Source organism: Homo sapiens, chromosome X (genome assembly GCF_000001405.40).
Source record: "Homo sapiens chromosome X, GRCh38.p14 Primary Assembly".
Lineage (NCBI taxonomy): Eukaryota > Metazoa > Chordata > Mammalia > Primates > Hominidae > Homo > Homo sapiens.
In genome coordinates, this window is record NC_000023.11 from 86981065 (window position 1) to 87000435 (window position 19371).

General features: G+C 39.4%; 1 annotated feature.

Moving 5' to 3' along the window:
- Nucleotides 244–1238: an enhancer, noted in NCBI's record as "OCT4-NANOG-H3K27ac hESC enhancer chrX:86236311-86237305 (GRCh37/hg19 assembly coordinates)". NCBI's record gives its function as "activates a minimal SCP1, AML or CMV promoter by ChIP-STARR-seq in naive and primed H9 embryonic stem cells {active_cell/tissue: H9 hESC(naive and primed)}" and the evidence as "EXISTENCE:reporter gene assay evidence [ECO:0000049][PMID:30033119]".

The window sequence follows — 19371 nt, forward strand, 5'->3', positions numbered from 1 at the left end:
GGGGATTAAATTTCAAACACCTGAACTTTGAGGACACATTCAAAGCAAAACAACCTAAGTAATCTACAATGTCAACATAATTTCTATCAAAATTACTATAGCATTTTTCACAGACATAGAAAAGAAATCCTTAAGATTGTATGACAAAACCACAGGAAATCTGTGTAAGGATTTCAACCCCACATTTCCCTTTGGCACTGCTCTAGTAAATTCTCTCTGTTGAGGCTTTGCCTCTATGACAGGTTTCTGCCTGGCCCTGAGGCTTTCCTACATGTTCTCTGAAATCTAGGTTGAAGGTGCCAAGCCTCCTTCACTTTTTCATTCTGTGCACCTGCAGGATAAATACCACATGGAAGCTGCCAAGGCTTATGGCTTGAGCTCTGCAAGGCAGCGGCTTGAGTTATACCTAGGGCCCTCTGAGCCATGGCTGGAACTGGAGCAGCAGGGATGCATGGAGCAGTGCTCCAAGTCGGCACAGGGCAGTGGGGCTTTGAACCTTGCCCACAAAACCATTCTTTTGTCCTTGGTCCTTTGGGCCTTTGACAGGAGGGTCTGCCTCAAAGATCTCTGAGATGTCTTTGAGGTCTTTATACTATTGTCTTGAATATTAGCACTTGGATCCCTTTTAGTCATGCAAATATCTCTAGCAAGTGGTTGCTCCACTGCCCATTTTAATTCCTCTACTGAAAATGCTCTTTGTTTCTCTATCACAATGCCAGGCTGCAAATTTTCCAAACTTTTACACTCTGTTTCCATTATAATTTCCAACTTTGAGAAATTGCTTTCATATATTATTATAGACTTTTAGAAGGAAGGAACTGTCAGGCCTCTGAGCCCAAGCTAAGCCATCATATCCCCTGTGATCTGCACATACACATCCAGATGGGCGGTTCCTGCCTTAACTGATGACATTCCACCACAAAAGAAGTGAAAATGGCCTGTTCCTGCCTTAACTGATGACATTGTCTTGTGAAATTCCTTCTCCTGGCTCATCCTGGCTCAAAAGCTCCCCCACTGAGTACCTTGTGACCCCCACTCCTGCCTGCCAGAGAACAAACCCCCTTTTTCCTTTACCTACCCAAATCCTATAAAACGGTCCCACCGCATCTCCCTTCACTGACTCTCTTTTCGGACTCAGCCCACCTGCACCCAGGTGAAATAAACAGCTTTATTGCTCACACAAAGCCTGTTTGGTGGTCTCTTCACACGGACACGCATGAAATTTGGTGCAATGACTCAGATCGGGGGACCTCCCTTGGGAAATCAATGCCCTGTCCTCCTGCTCTTTGCTCCATGAGAAAGATCCACCTACAACCTCAGGTTCTCAGACTGACCAGCCCAAGAAACATCTCACCAATTTCAAATCCGGTAAGCAGCCTCTTTTTACTCTCTTCTCCAGTCTCCCTCACTATCCCTCAACCTGTTTCTCCTTTCAATCTTGGCGCCACACTTCAATCTCTCCCTTCTCTTAATTTCAATTCCTTTCATTTTCTGGTAGAGACAAAGGAGACACGTTTTATCTGTGGACCCAAAACTCCGGCGCCAGTCACAGACTAGGGAAGGCAGCCTTCCCTTGGTGTTTAATCATTGCAGGGACACCTCTCTAATTATTCACCCAGGTTTCAGAGGTGTCAGACCACGCAGTGACGTCTGTGTTGGTCCTGCACCCTTAGCAGCAAGTCCTGCTTTTCTGGGGAAGGGGCAAGTACCCCAGCCCCTTCTCTCCGTGTCTCTACCCCTTCTTTGCCTTTCTGGGGGGCAAGAAACCCCCAAACCCTTTGCCTTCACCCTTAGTGGCAAGTCCTGCTTTTCTGGGGGAGGGGTAAGCACCCCAACCCCTTATATCTCTGTGCCCTGATCCCTTATTTCCACACCCTGACCTCGTATCTCTGTGCCCCGACCGCTTTCCTGCTTTTCTGGAGGGTAAGAACTCCTAAACCCCTTCCCTCCATGTCTCTACTCTCTCTTTTCTCTGGGTTTGCCTCCTTCACTATGGGCAACCTTCCACCCTCCATTCCTCCTTCTTCTCCCTTAGCCTGTGTTCTTAAGAACTTAAAACCTCTTCAACTCTCACCTGACCTAAAATCTAAGCATCTTATTTTCTTCTGCAATGCCTCTTGACCCCAATACAAACTCGACAGTAGTTCCAAATAGCCAGAAAACGGCACTTTCAATTTTTCCATCCTGCAAGATCTAAATAATTCTTGTCATAAAATGGGCAAACGGTCTGAGGTGCCTGACGTCCAGGCATTCTTTTACACATCAGTCCCTCCCTAGTCTCTGTGCCCAGTGCAACTCATCCCAAATCTTCCTTCTTTCCCTCCCACCTGTCCCCTCAGTCCCAGCCCCAAGCATCGCTGAGTATTTCTAATCTTCCTTTTCTACAGACCCATCTGACCTCTCCCCTCCTCCCCAGGCTGCTCCTTACCAGGCTGAGCTAGGTCCCAATTCTTCCTCAGCCTCTGCTCCTCCACCCTATAATCCTTTTATCACCTCTCCTCCTCACACCCGGTCCAGCTTACAGTTTCATTCTGTGACTAGCCCTCCCCCACCTGCCCAGCAATTTACTCTTAAAAAGGTGGCTGGAGCTAAAGGCATAGTCAAGGTTAATGCTCCTTTTTCTTTATCCCAAATCAGATAGCGTTTAGGCTGTTTTTCATCAAATATAAAAATCCATCCCAGTTCATGACTTGTTTGGCAGCAACCCTGAGACACTTTACAGCCCTAGACCCTAAAATGTCAAAAGGCCGTCTTATTCTCAAAATGCATTTTATTACCAAATCTGCTCCCAACATTAAATAAAACTCCAAAAATTAAATTCTGGCCATCAAACTCCACAACAGGATTTAATTAACCTCACCTTCAAGGTGTACAATAATAGAAAAAAGTTGCAATTCCTTGCCTCCACTGTGAGACAAACCCCAGCCACATCTCCAGCACACAAGAACTTCCAAACGCCTGAACCGCAGCGGCCAGGTGTTCCTCCAGAATCTCCTCCCCCAGGAGCTTGCTACAAGTGCCAGAAATCTGACCACCAGGCCAAGGAATGCCTGCAGCCCAGGATTCCTCCTAAGCCTTGTCCCATCTGTGCGGGACCCCACTGGAAATTGGACTGTTCAACTCACCTGGCAGCCACTCCCAGAGCCCCTGGAACTCTGGCCCAGGGCTCTCTGACTGACTCCTTCTTGGCTTAGCGACTGAAGACTGACGCTGCCCGATCGCCTCGGAAGCCCCATAGACCATCACAGACACCAAGCTTTAGGTAACTCTTACAGTGGAGGGTAAGTCCATCCTCTTCTTAATCAATACAGAGGCTACCCACTCCACATTACCTTCTTTTCAAGGGCCTGTTTCCCTTGCCTCCATAACTGTTGTGGGTATTGAGAGCCAGGCTTCTAAACCTCTTAAAACTCCCCAACTCTGGTGCCAACTTAGACAATACTCTTTTAAGCACTCCTTTTTAGTTATCCCCACCTGCCCAGTTCCCTTATTAGGCTGAGACACTTTAACCAAATTATCTGCTTCCCTGACTATTCCTGGACTACAGCTGCATCTCATTGCCACCCTTCTCCCCAACCCAAAGCCTCTTTCGCATCTTCCTCTCATATCCCCCAACCTTAACCCACAAGTATAGGACATCTGTACTCCTTCCCTGGCAACCGATCACATGCCCATTACCATCCCATTAAAACCTAATCACCTTTACCACGCTCAATGCCAATATCCCATCCCACAGCATGCTTTAAAAGGATTAAAGCCTGTTATCACTTGCCTGCTACAGCATGGGCTTCTAAAACCTATAAACTCTCCTTACAAATCCCCCATTTTACCTGTCCAAAAACTGGACAAGTCTTACAGATTAGTTCAGGATCTGCGCCTTATCAACCAAATTGTTTTGCCTATCCATCCTGTGGTGCCCAACCCTTACACTCTTTTGTCCTCAATACCTTCCTCCACAACTCACTATTCCATTCTCGATCTTAAAGATGCTTTTTTCACTATTCCCCTGCACCCCTCGTCCCAGCCTCTCTTCACTTTCACTTAGACTGACCCTGACATCCAATAGGCTCAGCAAATTACCTGGGCTGTACTGCTGCAAGCCTTCACAGACAGCCCCCGTTACTTCAGTCAAGCCCAAATTTCATCCTCATCTGTTACCTATCTCGGCATAATTCTCATGAAAACACACGTGCTTTCCCTGCTGATCGTGTCCGATTAATCTCCCAAACCTCAATGCCTTACAAAACAACAACTCCTTTCCTTCCTAGGCATGGTTAGTGTGGTCAGAATTCTTACACAAGAGCCAGGACCGCACCCTGTAGCCTTTCTGTCCAAACAACTTGACCTTACTGTTTTAGCCTAGCCCTCATGTCCGCATGCAGAGGCTGCTGCTGCTTTAATACTTTTAGAGGCCCTCAAAATTACAAACTATGTTCAACTTACTCTCTACATTTCTCATAACTTCCAAAATCTATTTTCTTTCTCATACCTGATGCATATACTTTCTGCTCCCCGGCTCCTTCAGCTGTACTCACTCACTCTTTGTTAAGTCCCACAATTACCATTGTTCCTGGCCCGGACTTCAATCCGGCCTCCCACATTATTCCTGATACCACACCTGACCCCCATGACTGTATCTCTCTGATCCACCTGACATTCACCCCATTTCCCCATATTTCCATCTTTCCTGTTCCTCACCCTGATCACGGTTGATTTATTGATGGCAGTTCCACCAGGCCTAATCACCACACGCCAGCAAAGGCAGGCTATGCTATAGTACAAAGCCACTAGCCCGCCTCTTAAGACCTCTCATTTCCTTTCCATCGTGGAAATCTATCCTCAAGGAAATAACTTCTCAGTGTTCCATTTGCTATTCTACTACTTCTTAAGGATTATTCAGGCCCCCTCCCTTCCCTACACATCAAGCTCAAGGATTTGCCCCCACCCAGGACTGGCAAATTAGCTTTACTCAACATGCCCCAAGTCAGATAACTAAAATACCTCTTAGTCTAGGTAGACACTTTCACTGGATAGGTAGAGGCCTTTCCTACAGGGTCTGAGAAGGCCACCGCAGTCATTTCTTCCCTTCTGTCAGACACAATTCCTCAGTTTAGCCTTCCCACCTCTACACAGTCTGATAACAGACCAGCCTTTATTAGTTAAATCAGCCAAGCACTTTTTCAGGCTCCTAGTATTCAGTGAAACCTTTATATCCCTTACGGTCCTCTGTCTTCAGGAAAAGTAGAACGGACTAAAAGTCTTTTAAAAACACACCTCATCAAGCTCAGCCACCAACTTAAAAAGGACTGGACAATACTTTTACCACTGTCGCTTCTCAGAATTCAGGCCTGTCCTCGGAGTGCTACAAGGTACAGCCCATTTGAGCTCCTTTTTATTAGGCCCCAGTCTCATTCCAGACACCAGACCAACTTGGACTGTGCCCCAAAAAACTTGTCATCCCTACTATCTTCTGTCTAGTCATACTCCTATTCACCGTTTTCAACTACTCATACATGCTCTGCTCTTGTTTACACTGCCAGTTTACACTGTTTCTCCAAGCCAGCACAGCTGATATCTCCTGGTGCTATCCCAAAACCGCCATTCTTAACTCTCAAAGTAAATAAATAATCTTTACTGGCAAGGCTATGCTGAACCTCCTTAGGCACTCTCTAATTAGATGTCCTAGGTCCTCCCAATTCTTAGTCCTTTAATACCTGTTTTTCTCCTTCTCTTATTCCATTTAGTTTTTCAATTCATACAAAACTGTATCCAGGCCATCACCAATAATTCTAAATGACAAATGTTTCTTCTAACAACCCAACAATATCACCCCTTACCACAAAATCTTCCTTCAGCTTAATCTCTCCCACTCTAGGTTCCCACACCGCCCCTAATCCCGCTCGAAGCAGCCCTGAGAAACATCGCCCATTATCTCTCCATAACACCCCCAAAAAATTTTCACCGTCCCAACACTTTACCACTATTTCATTTTATTTTTCTTATTAATATAAGAAGACAGGAATGTCAGGCCTCAGAGCCCAAGCTAAGCCATCATATCCCCTGTGATCTGCACGTACACATCCAGATGGCCGGTTCCTGCCTTAACTGATGACATTCCACCACAAAAGAAGTGAAAATGGCCTGTTCCTGCCTTAACTGATGACATTGTCTCGTGAAATTCCTTCTCCTGGCTCATCCTGACTCAAAAGCTCCCCCACTGAGTACCTTGTGACCCCCACTCCTGCCTGCCAGAGAACAACCCCCCTTTTTCCTTTACCTACCCAAATCCTATAAAATGGCCCCACCCCATCTCCCTTCGCTGACTCTCTTTTCGGACTCAGCCCACCTGCACCCAGGTGAAATAAACAGCTGTATTGCTCACACAAAGCCTGTTTGGTGGTCTCTTCACACGGACATACATGAAAGGAACCAGACCAAATCTTGAACACTCTGTTGCTTAGAATTTTTTTTTGCTAGATATGCTTAGTCATCACTCTTCATTTCAAACACCCACAGAACCCTAGGATGTGAACACTTTGCAGGCAAGCTCTTTCCTAGAATGTAACATTGGTGACCTTAACTCCAGTTTCAAATCACTTCGTTTCCATGTGAGACCTCATCAGCTTGGCCTTTACTGTCCATATTTCTATCAGCATTTTGTCCACAATCACTTAAAAATTATCTAAGAAGTTCCAAACGTTTCCTTATCTTCCTGTCTTCTTCTGAGCCCTCCAAACTCTTCCAACCTCTGCCTATTACCCCATTCCAAAGTTTCTTTCACATTTTCAGGTATCTTTTTAGCAATGTCCCACTCCTCAGTACCAATTTTCTGTGTTAGTCCATTTTTACACCACTATAAGTTAATACCAGAGGCTGGGCAATTTATAAAGAAAAAAGGGTTAATTAGTTCATGATTATTCAGACTGTACTGAAAGCTTGGTTTTGCCATCTGCTCAGCTTCTAGTGACAACCTTAGGAAGGTTTCAGTCATGGCAGAAGGTGGAGGGGGAACAGACCTATCACACAGTGAGAGCCAGAGAAAGAGAGAGGAAAGGTGCTACACTCTTAAACAACCAGATCTCATATAAACTCATAGAGCAAATCTCACTTATTACTGCAAGGATATCACCAAGCTATTCATGAGGAATCTTCCCTCATGACTCAAACACCTCCCACTAGGGCTACCTATTACATTGGAGGCCAAATTTCAACACGAGATTTGGAGGGGACAAAACATCCAAACCATATCAAAACTTACACATACATAGTCAACTTTTTTTTAATAAAGGCATCAAGAATGCAAAATGGAAAAGGACAGACTCTACAATAAATACTGTTAGAAAAAGTGGATATCCATATGCAAAATAATGCAATTGAAACTTTTTCTTACATCACACACAAAAATCCATTTTAAATGGATTTAAAAATTAAATGTAAGTAATGTAACCTAAAACTCCTAGAAGAAAACATAGTGGAAGAGATCCTTGACATTGGTCTTATCAAAGGCTTCCTGTATTTGAAATAAAAACTGTCAGAGGCAATTGAATCAGAGTGACTATATCATGAATAGGTGCCCAAGTAAAATAAGTCTGAGCCCTACTGGGTTGCATTCCCAGGAGGTAAAGCATTTTAAGTCACAGAATGAAATAGGAGGTCGGCAAAAGATACAGGTCACAAAGATGTTGCTGTTAAAACAGGTTGCATTAAAGAAGCAGGCCAAAACCCGCCAAAACCAAGATAGCAACAAAAGTAACCTCTGATCATCCTCACTGCTCATTATACACTAAGTTTAATGCATTAGAATACTAAAAGTCATTCCCACCAGTGCAATGACAGTTTACAGATGCCATGGCAATGTCCTTAAGTTACTCTATGTAGTCAAAAAAGAGGAGGAACACTCAGTTCTGGAAAGTGCCCACCCCTTTCCTGGAAAACTTGTGAATAATCCACCCCTTGTTTAGCATATACTAAAGAAAGATCCATAAGAATAGCCGACCAGCAGCCCTCGGGGCTGCTCTGCCTTTGGAGTAGCCATTCTTTAATTCTTTACTTTCTTAATAAACTTGCTTTCACTTTACTCTATGTATTCACCTCAAATTCTTTCTTGTACAAGATCCAAGTACCCTCTCTTGGGGTCTGGATCAGGACCCCTTTCCAGTAACAAAACTAAAGGCAAGAAAATAAAAAATAAACAAGTGGAACTACATCAAACTAAAAAGCTGCTCCACATCAAAGGAAGCAATCAACAAAATGGAAAAGCAACCTATGGAATCAAAGATGTTTGTAAACAACATACCCAATAAGAAGTTAATGTCCAAAAATATAAAATTACAACTCAAAAGCAAAAAATTCCAAATACTCAATTAAAAAAGGGGAAATGACATGAATAGACATTTCTTAAAGAAGACATACAAATGACTAATAAGTATATAAAAATACATTCAGCGTTACTACCCATCAGGGAAATGAAAATCAAAACCACAATGATAGATCAGCTCACACCTGTTAGAATGTCTATAACTTAAAAAGTTCATGGATAACAAGTGTTGGTTAGAATGTAAGGAAAAAGGAACTTTTATATACTGTTGGTAGAAAGGTATATTGGTATATCCATTATGGAAAACTGTATGGAGGTTGCTCAAACAATTAAAAATAGAGCTATCATATGATCCAACAATCCTATCTCTAGGTATACATACAAAGGAAAAAATATCACTATATTGAAGAGATATATGCAGTCCTATGTCCATTGCAGCATTATTCACAATCGCCAAAATGTGAAAACAACCTAAGTATCTGCCTATAGATGGAATGGATAAACATAATTTGATGTGTGTGTGTTTATAAAATTAAGCCTTATAAAAGAAGGAAATATCTTTAATTTTCAGTGACCTGTAGATTTCAGTATACACATGTTTTGTGAGATGTATCATCTTATGATTTTATTCTATTACAAATAATATTTTAAATTCATTTTTTCAATAGCTTATTGATATTATAAAGAAATACAATTTGTATTTTTTATGTTGAATCTTGTAACTGTACTAAACTCACTAATAAGATTTAGCAATCTTTTTGTAGATTGTATAGACTTTTCTGTGTAGATGATCATGTCATCTGTGAATAAATAAAGCTTTACATACTTCTTTACAATCTGGAAGCCCTTTCCACCCCATTTCTTGCAATATTGCATTGGGTAAAACTTCTAGGACAATGTTGAGCAGAAGTGGTGAAAGTGCACACATTATCCTGGTTTATGCTTTTTGTAAATAGCATACAGTTTTTCAACTATAAGTATGTGATATCTGTATGTTTGTTGCAAGTTTTAATCAGGAATGGATGTTGAATCTTTATGCACGTATTTGGATGATCATATGGATGTTCTGCATTAGGCTGTTATTATGTTTAATTTCATTTATTTATTTTTGACTGTTAAATAATCCTTGCAATCCTGGGATAAATCAACTTTGTCATGCTGTATTATTTCTTAATATGGAGTGATTAGGTTTCCTAAAGGTTAATACATTTTGCATAACTATTTATGAGTGATATTTTTCTGTAATTTTCTTGTAATATCTTTGTGTAGTTTCGGTATCACTCACCTCTTAGAATGCTGGCCTCCTAGAATGAGTTGGAATATATTATATCATCTTTAACTCTATTGAGTAATTCACATATATTTGCATGACTTCTTTGTTAAGTGTTTGATAGAATTCATGAGTAAAGCCATCTGTGCTTGTGATTTTCTTTGTGGGAACTTTTGCAACTAAAAATTCAATTTATTTAATATACAAAAGTTTATTCAGGTTATCTATTATTCCTCTTCTGTCACAGAGGCTGGAATGCAGTGGCAGGATCTCAGCTCACTGCAATCTCCGCCTCCCAGGTTCAAGTGATTCTCTTGCCTCAGCCTCCTGAGTAGCTGGAATTACAGGCACCCGACACCACACCCGGCTAATTTTTTGTATTTTTAGTAGAGATGGGGTTTTGCCATGTTGGCTAGGCTGGTCTCGAATTCCTGACCTCTAGTGATCTGCCCGCCTATGCTTCCCGAAGAGCTGGGATTTCAGGTGTGAGCCACCACACCCAGTATTCTTGAGTAATCTATTCTCAATTTATTCTTGAGTAAGCTTTGTACTTGATGTCTTTTAATAAAATGTTTCTTATATTTAAATTATCAAATTAGCATGAATTTGTTGATATTCTCTTATCATCCTTTTTAACATATTTAATATCTGTAGAATATGTGGTGATATCATCTTTCTCCTTTCTGATATGAAAATTTGTGTCATTTTTTTTTTCCGGATAAGTCTGGCTAAAATTTTATTTTAAAGAACTAGATTTTGACTATATTGATACTCATTATTAATACTTGTTTGTTTTATTGATTTATTCTTTCATTCTCTTCATTTCCTTTCTACTCACATTGAGTTTCCTGTACAACCTACTGTGTACTGATATTATACTACTTCACTTATAGCATTACAACATTGCAAAAGTATACTTCTACTTCTCCCTTAGTTTTTGTCTTTTTAATTCTACCTATAGTAAACCTAGGAATAATTTGTTACTAATTTGCTGATACAGTCAATTGCCTTTTAAAAATATAAATAATAAAAATTTTATATATTTAATTATGTATTTCTTATTTCCAGTGCTTTTTCTCCCTTTGTGTAGATTCATATTCTCTCTGTCATCATTTTCTTTTGCCTAAGGGACTTTCTTTAAATTTCTCATAATGTAGGCTTATTGGTAAACATTTTTTCCAGGTATTATATGTCTGAAAAAGTTTTAATCTCATTATTTTTGAAATATTGAAATTTTGAAAAATTTTACTGGATAAAGAATTGCCAGCTGACATTTTTTTTTTTCAATTCAGAACTTAAAATATGTTTCTCCAACATCTTTTAGCTTGCACTGTATGTGATAAACAATCTGGTGCCATCTTATCTTTATTTCTTTGTACACAACAGTTCATTTCCCTATAGCTGTTTTTAAGATTTTTCCCTTTCTTACTGGTTGTTAGCAAGTTGATGATGATGTAGATTGGCATAGTACTACTCATGTTTCTTTTTTCTTGGGGTTCAGTTAATATCCTGAATTTGTTGGTTTACAGTATTCATCTTATTTGGAAAATGTTCAGCTCTTTTTTTTTTTTATTTTTTCCAAGCCATTTTGTTCTTTCCTCTCTTTCAAAGGCTTTAATTGCATGTATGGTTGGTTACTTAAAATTTTTCCAGAGTTTCATGATATACTGTTTATTTTTTCCATTCTTTTTTTTCACCCGTGTGTTTCCCTTTTGATAGATTATTTTGCTGGTTTGAATTTCACTGATTTTTGTTTACAATGCCTTATCTGTTATTAACGGAAGTGTAGTTTTAATCTTATACTTTACAGTTTTTATCTTTAAAAGTTCAATCTATCATTTTACACATTGTTAATTTTATATATTGGGTGTTGTGCATATATATATAATTTTGTGGGACATGGTTAAATCGTTTGGAAACAGTTTTACTCTTTTAGATCTTGCTTTTAAGCTAGGTTAGGCAGAATCAGAGTTTCATTTAATCTAGAGTTAATTCTTCCCCACTACTGGGGAACCAGGTACATTATCTTTTGTCTTCTGAATTATTGTGTGTTCCACTCTGGGTTTTGGAAACAGGCACTATTTTAAGACCTAAGTTAGCTCCAACCAGAGCTTCCTCTACTCTCTTCAAGTAGCTTTTCCTTGGGGTTGGATATTTTTCTCACATATATACACTGGTCTATATTCACCTGATATTTGGCAGAGAATGTTTGAAGATTTTGGGATTTCTCACTCTCAGACATATTTCTCTTCTTAATAATGTGCTCAATGAACTCTAGCCACTTTGGCTTAGGCAGAATCCTAGCTTCCTATTTTTATTTCAGATGGACTACCAGTCTTGGCCTGACTTTGCCACCCAGTGCAGAGCAAGTGACTAAAACCTTTTTCATTCAGTAATCTGATACATTCATACTGTTATTTTGTCTGGTTTTTCAGTGCTTATAGGTGGGATTACCCTGTTACTTCATCTTAGCAGGAGGCAGAAGACCTATACATTTTAATAAACTGTCTTCTGCTTTATCAAGATAATAAGTAACTTATTCTTGGGATGGAAACATTGCCAGATGGCAAACTACAAGGTTCCATTAACCATCTCCACTGCAAAAGCAGCAATTTAACAAATATATACACAAGAAAAGCACCTTCTTAAGAACCAATAATCAAGGGAGGACTTATATACCTGGTCTTAACTTCATATCGCTGAGAGGCACTGAAGAGGTAGAAAAACCAGTACTGAATCACCAATGCCATCCCTCCCCCACCAACTGGCATCCAAGGTGTGGTGCAGAAAATGATTCTGTGTGCTGGGGGAGGGAAAGTGCAGCAATTTTGAGACATTGAACTCAATGCCTTCCTGTTATACCAGAAATAAAAACTGGACCAAACTCAGCTGCCGCCCACCAATGGAGGGAGCATTTAAACCAGCCCTAGCCTGAGGGGAATTGCTTATCTCAGAGGTGGAAGCCTGGCCTCTCACAGACCTCATCACCGTAGGATAAACTGATATAGACTCTAAAAAAATTTGAAAGGCAGTCTAGGCCAAAGGACTGCAACATTAGGTGAGTCTTAGTGCTGAACTGAGCCAAGAACCAGGAGACGGGGGGACATGACCTACTGAGACACTAGATGGAGCAACTAAGGGAGTGCTGGCATTTCCAAAATCCTAGGTTGCACAGCTTCCAGCTCCAAAAGAGACTCCTTTCTTCTGCTTTAGAAAAGGAGAGGGAAGAATGGGGGAGACTTTGTCTTGCATCTTGGATACCAGCTCAGCAAAAGCAGGATAGGGCAATGATGAGGGTCATGAGGTTCTCTTTCCAGGCCCTAGCAACCAGATGACATTTCCAGACATACCCTGGGCAAAAATGGAACAACACACTCTGCTGCCTTGAGAGGAAAGACTTAGTTTTGCTAGAATTCATCATAGCTGACTTAAGACCCCTTGAGCCCAGAATAACCAGAAGTGATACTACTACATCGAGGAACTTGGGTGAGGCTTTGAGACTCGCTGGCTTCAGGTGAGACTCAGCACATTTCCAGCTGTGGTGACTGTGGCAAGAGACTTTTTCTGCTTGACAAAACAGAGGGAAAAGTAAAGGTGACTTTGTCTTGCACCTTAGGTACGAACTTTGCCACAGAGAGGTAGAACACCAAGCGATCATGTGGGTTTTCTGATTCCAGATCATGGCCCTTGGACATTTTAAGACCTGCTTAGGGCCAGAGGGGAGTCCACTGCCCAGAAGTTGAGTCATAAGCCAGGCAGTATTCATCACAAGCTGACTGCAGAGCACTTGGCCTTAAGGAAACATTGGTAGTAGTCTGGCATTACTCCTTGGGGACCTGCTGTGGCAGTAGCCATGGGGTAAGGCTCCTCTTTCTTTGGAAAGGAGAGGGAAGAGTGAGAAGGACTGCATCATCTGGCCTGAGTGCCAGCTCAGGAATAGTACAATAGAACACCAGGTAGATTTTAATGTTTTTGACTCTAGTTCTTGGCACCTCTGGAACCACCTTGGGACTGTGGGAATCCCTGCCCTGAAGGAAAGAACACAGGCCTGACTGACTTTACAACCTGCTTACTATAGAGCTTCAGGGCCTTGAGGAAACTTAGGTAGTATCCAGGTAGTGGTTATAGCAGACCTTGTATGAGGCCCAGTGTTATTCTGGCTTTGTTCTGACCCAGCACAGTCATATTAGTGATGGCCACAGGGGTGCTTGTGTCATTCCACCCCCAGATTTAGGTGGCTCAGGAGAGAGTTAGAGAGAGAATGAGAGAGAGAGAGAAAGAGAGACTCTTTCTTTGGGAGAAAGTAAGGTAAGAGAACAAGAGTCTTTCCCTGGTAATCTAGAGAATTCTCCCAGATCTTATACAAGAATATTAAGTTGAAACCTCTTGGAGTCTACAAGAACCACAACATTACTGGGCTTGAGGTGCCCCCAAAAGCAGATACAGCTTAGATCACAACATCAAAGTACTTCTGAATATCTGGAAATCTTTTCCAGAGAGGATGGATGCAAACAAGCTCAGACAGTGAGGACTACTATACCTAACTCTTAAATGCTCAGGCATTAAAGAATATCTACACATATCAAGACATTCCAGGAAAACATGACCTCACCAAATGACCTAAATAAGTCCCCAGGAACCAACCCTGGATAAACAGAGTCATGCGACCTTTCAGACAGATAATTCAAAGTACTTGTGTGGAGGAAACTCAAAGAAATTTAAGATAACAAAGAGAAGAAATTTAGAATGCTATCAGATAAACTTAACAAAGAGATTGAAATAATTAAAAATAAACTAGCAAAAATTCTGGAGCTAAAATGCAATTGGCATACTGAAGAATGCATCCGTCTTTTTTCTTTTCTTTTCTTTTCTTTTCCTTTTTTTTTTTTTTTTTTTTTTGAGACAGGCTGGAATGCAATGGCACAATCTCTGCTCAATGCAACCTCCGTCTCCCAGATTCAAGCCATCCTCCTGCCTCAGCCTCCCACATCCTCTTTCAATAGCAGAATTTATCAAATAGTAGAATGGATAACTTGAAGAGAGGCTATTTGTAAATATACAGTCAGAGGAGACAAAAGGAAATAGAATACAATGAATAAACTAACAAAACATGCCTGCAACTTAAAAGATAGCCTCAAAGGGCAAATTTAAGAGTTATTGGCCTTAAAGAATAGGTAGAAAAAGTCATAGTGGTAGAAATTTTATTCAAAGGAATAATAACTGAGAACTTCACAAACCTAGAGAATGGTATCAATATCCAAGTATGAGAACGTTTTAGAACACCAAGCAGATTTAACCCAAAGAAGACTTCCTCAAAACATTTAATATTCAAACTCCCAAAGGTCAAAGATAAAGAAAGGGTCCTAAAAGCAGCAAGAGAAAAGAAATAAATAACATGCAATGGAGCTCCAATACATCTGACAGCAGACTTTTTAGTGGAAACCTTACAGTTCAGGAGAGAAGGAGAGAATGGCATGATATATTTAAAGTGCTGAAGGAAAAAAACAAAGAAACAAACAAAAAAAAAACTATTACCCTCTAATAATATATCCAAAGAAAATATCCTTCAAACATGAAGGGGAAATAAAAACTCCCAGAGAAACAAAAGCTGATAACAACTTAACACTATTCACACAAACAAACACACAAACACGCAAAAAGAAAACAAATAAACTTGCCTTAACTTTGTCGCCTCTCTTTTTACCTTTTTCATATTTATATTTTCTTGTACTGACTATGTCTTGAAAAGTTGTAGCTATTATTTTTTATTTTCTTTCATTCAGTCTTTCTACTTGAGTTGTTTACACAGCACAGTTACAGTGTTAAACTACTTAAAATATTCTGTGTTTTTCTGTGTACTTATGATTACCAGTAAACTTTCTACCTTCAGGTGATTATTTAGCGCTCATTAATTTCTTTTCTTTTTGATTGAAGTGTGTACCCTTTATCATTTATCGTAGGATGGGATTGGTATTGATGACATTGCTCAGCTTTTGTTTGTCTGGGAAAATCTTTATTTCCCCTTCATATTTGAAGGATATTTTTACCTGATATATTATTCTAGGCTGAAAGGCTTTTTTTCCCCTTCAGCATTTTTAATATGCCATGTCATGTCATTATCTCCTGGTCTGTAAATTTTTCATAAAAAATTCTGCAGCCATTTGTATTGGAGCTCCATTGTACGTTTGTTTGTTTGTTTGTTTGTTTGTTTGTTTGTTTACTCTTGCTGCTTTTAGAACCCTTTATTGTTGACCCTTGGGAGTTTGATTTTTAAATGCCTTGAAGTAGTCTTCTTTGGGTTAAATATGCTTGGTGTTCTGTTACCTACTTTCATTTGGATATTGGTATCTCTAGATTTGGGACATTGTCTGTTATTAACCCACTGAATATGCTTTCAACTCCTCTTTGACTCTTCTTTAAGGTCAATAGCCCTTAGATTTGACTTTTTAGGATATTTTCGAGATCATGCAGGCATGGTCCATAGGTTTTTTAAAATTCTTTTTGATCTCCTCTGACTGTGTACTTTTAAATATCCTGTGCTTAAGCTCACTAATTATTTCTTATATTTTATCCAATCTGCTATTGAAGAACTCCAATGCATTCCTCAGTACACCAATTGCATTCTTCAGCTCCAGAACTTCTGCTTGACTCTTTCCACACCTGGCCAAGAGGAGTACTGCCAGACTAACTATGTTCCTTTAGGCCCAAGCTCTCTTAAGCCAGCCTGTGGTGAATGCTGCCTGGCCTGGTAATCACCCTTCAGAACGGTAGGCCTCTCCCTGGCCCAAGGCAGGTCCAAAAATATCATGTAAGAGTCAAGCCCTGGAATCAGGGACTCCAAGAGCCTGCTTGGTGTTCTATGCCCCTGTGGTGGTGTTGGTACCTAAAGTCCAAGAAAAAGTCCCTTTTACTTTTCCCTCTGCTTTTTTCAAGCAGTTTTGCCCCAAAGCCACACAGTTGGTAATGTGCTGAATCTCACCTGAAGCCAGCAAGTCTCAAAGCCACTAAGGCCTCTGATGTAGTATCTGGGTATTACTCCTTGTTATTCAGGGCCCAAGACCTCTTCAGTTAGCAGATTATGAAAGCTGCCATGACCGTGTTTTTTTTGTTTGTTTGTTTGTTTGTTTTAAGCAGCAGTTTTTCCTGTGGCCCAGGGTGTGTCTAGAAATGTCATATTGGTACTTGAAACTGAAATGGGGGCCTTATGACTCTGACTGGTGCCCTATTATGCTGTGGCTGAGCTGGTATTCAAGATGCATGCTAAAGTCTTCCCTCTCCTCTCCTCAAGTAAAAAAAAAAATGGGCCTTTTTAAGAGACAGGAGCTGTGAAGCCTGGTGTTAGGTGAGGGGTGATGTCAGCACTCCCTTGTCTGCCCAAGCTTGTGTGCTAGTACGATAAAGCAGTCAATTCAGCAAGAAGAATAACAACTTCGAATACATATTCACCCAAAACTGAAGCACCAAGATATATAAAGCAAATAAATATTAGTGCTAAAGAGAGAGATAGGCTCCAATATAATAATAGCTGAAGACTTTAACATCCCACTTTTATTACTGTATAGATCTTCCAGAGAAAATCAAAACAAAAAATTCATACTTAACCTGCAATACAGACCAAATGGATCTAACTGATATTTATAGAATATTTCTTCCAAAAGCTGCAAGATATACATTTGTTTTACCACAATGATTATTCTCAAGGATAGACTATATGTTAGGTCACAAACAAGCTTTAAAACATTCAGAAAAATGAAATAATATCAAGTATTTTCTCTTACTATGATGGAATAAACTACACGTTAATAACAAAGGAATTTTAGAATCTATACAAGTAAATGAAAATTAAACAATATGCTCCTGAATGACCAGTGGATCAATGAAGAGATTAAGAAGAAAATTGAAAAATATCATGAATCAAATGATAATGGAAAAACAACATACTTTAATTAGTCTGTTCTTGTATAACTATAATGAAATACTTGACACTGTGTAATTTATATAAAAAAGAGGTTAAATTGGCTCATTGTTCTTCAGGATGTAGAGAAAGCATATTGGCTTTTGATTCTAGGGAGGCCTCAGAAAACTTACAGTCAATAAACTTACAATAGCAGAAGGCATACGGAAAGCAGGCACATCTAACATGGCTGGTGCAGAAGAAAGAGAGACCATGGGGAGGTACCACACACTTTTAAATGAACAAACCTTATGAATACTCTATTATGAGAATATCACAAAAGAGATTGTTCTCAGCTATTTATAAAATTACACGCCCATGGGACCCACCTTCATTATTGAAGAATACAATTGAACATGAGATTTGGGTGGGGAAACAAATCTAAACCACATCAATATGAAAACTTATGGGATACAGCAAAAGATGTGTGAAGAGGGAAGTTTGTATCTATAAATGCCTACATCAAAAAAGAAAAAAAAATCGAATAAACAATCTAATGATGCATATTAAAGAACTAGAAAAGCAAGAGCAAACCAAACTCAAAATTAGTAGTAGAAATAATAAAGATCTGAGTAGAAATAAATAAAATTGAAATAAAAAACAACACCAAAGAACAATGGAACTAAAATTGGTTTATTGCAAATTTCAACAAAAATGACAAACCTCTACCCAGACTAAATAAGAAAAAAAAAAAAAAGAAATGCAATTTAAAAAATCAGAAGTGTAAAGGAGACATTATAGCTGATACTGCAGAAATTCGAAGGATCATTAGTGGCTACTATGAGTAACTATATGCCTCCAAAATTGGAAAATCTACAAGCAATGGAAAAATTCCTATATATATTCAACCTACTAAGATTGAACCAGGAAGAAATCCAAAACCTGAACAGACCAATAATAAGTAACAAGATAGAAGCTGTAATAAAGACTCTCCCAGTGAAAAAAAGCCTGGGACCCGATGGCATCACTGTTGAATTCTACCAAACATTTAAAGAAGAATTAATACCAATCCTCCTCAAACTATGCCAAAAGATAGAGGAGGAGGGAATACTTTCAAACATATTTTATGAGGCTGGTATTACCCTGATACCAAAACCAGACAATGACACATCAATGAAAGAATACAGGCCAATATTTCCGATAAATATTGATGCAAAAATCCTCAACAAAATACTAGCAAACTGTACTCATTAATACATTAGAAACATCATTCATCATGACCAAGTGGGCTTTATCCCGGGGGTGCAAGTATGGTTCAACATACACAAATCTATCAACATAATACATCACATAAACAGAAGGTGATTGATGCTGAAAAAGGGTTTGATGCAATTAAAAGTCCCTCCTGGAAAACAAAACAAAACAAAACAAACTCATAAAACTAAGAAGAAAAGAAACATACCTCAACATAATTAAATCCATATATAATAGGCCTACAGCTAGTGTCATACTCAATGGGTATAAACAAAAAACTTTTCCTCTAAGATCTGGAACATGACAAAGATGTTCACTGTCACCATTGTTATTCAACATAATATTGGAAGTCCTAGCTAGAGCAGTCAGAAAAGAGATGGACATAAAAGGCATCGAAATTGGAAAGAAAGAAGTCCGACTATTCTTGTTTTCACAAAATATGATGTTATATTTATAAGAACCTAAAGGCTCCACATGAAATTTATTAGAACTCATAAACAAATTCAATAAAGTTGTAGAATACAAATTCAACTTACAAAAATAAGTAGCATTTATATATGACAACAGTGAGCAATGTGAGTTAGATATTCAAAAAGTAAACCTATTTACAGTAGCTACATAAAATTAAATACCTGG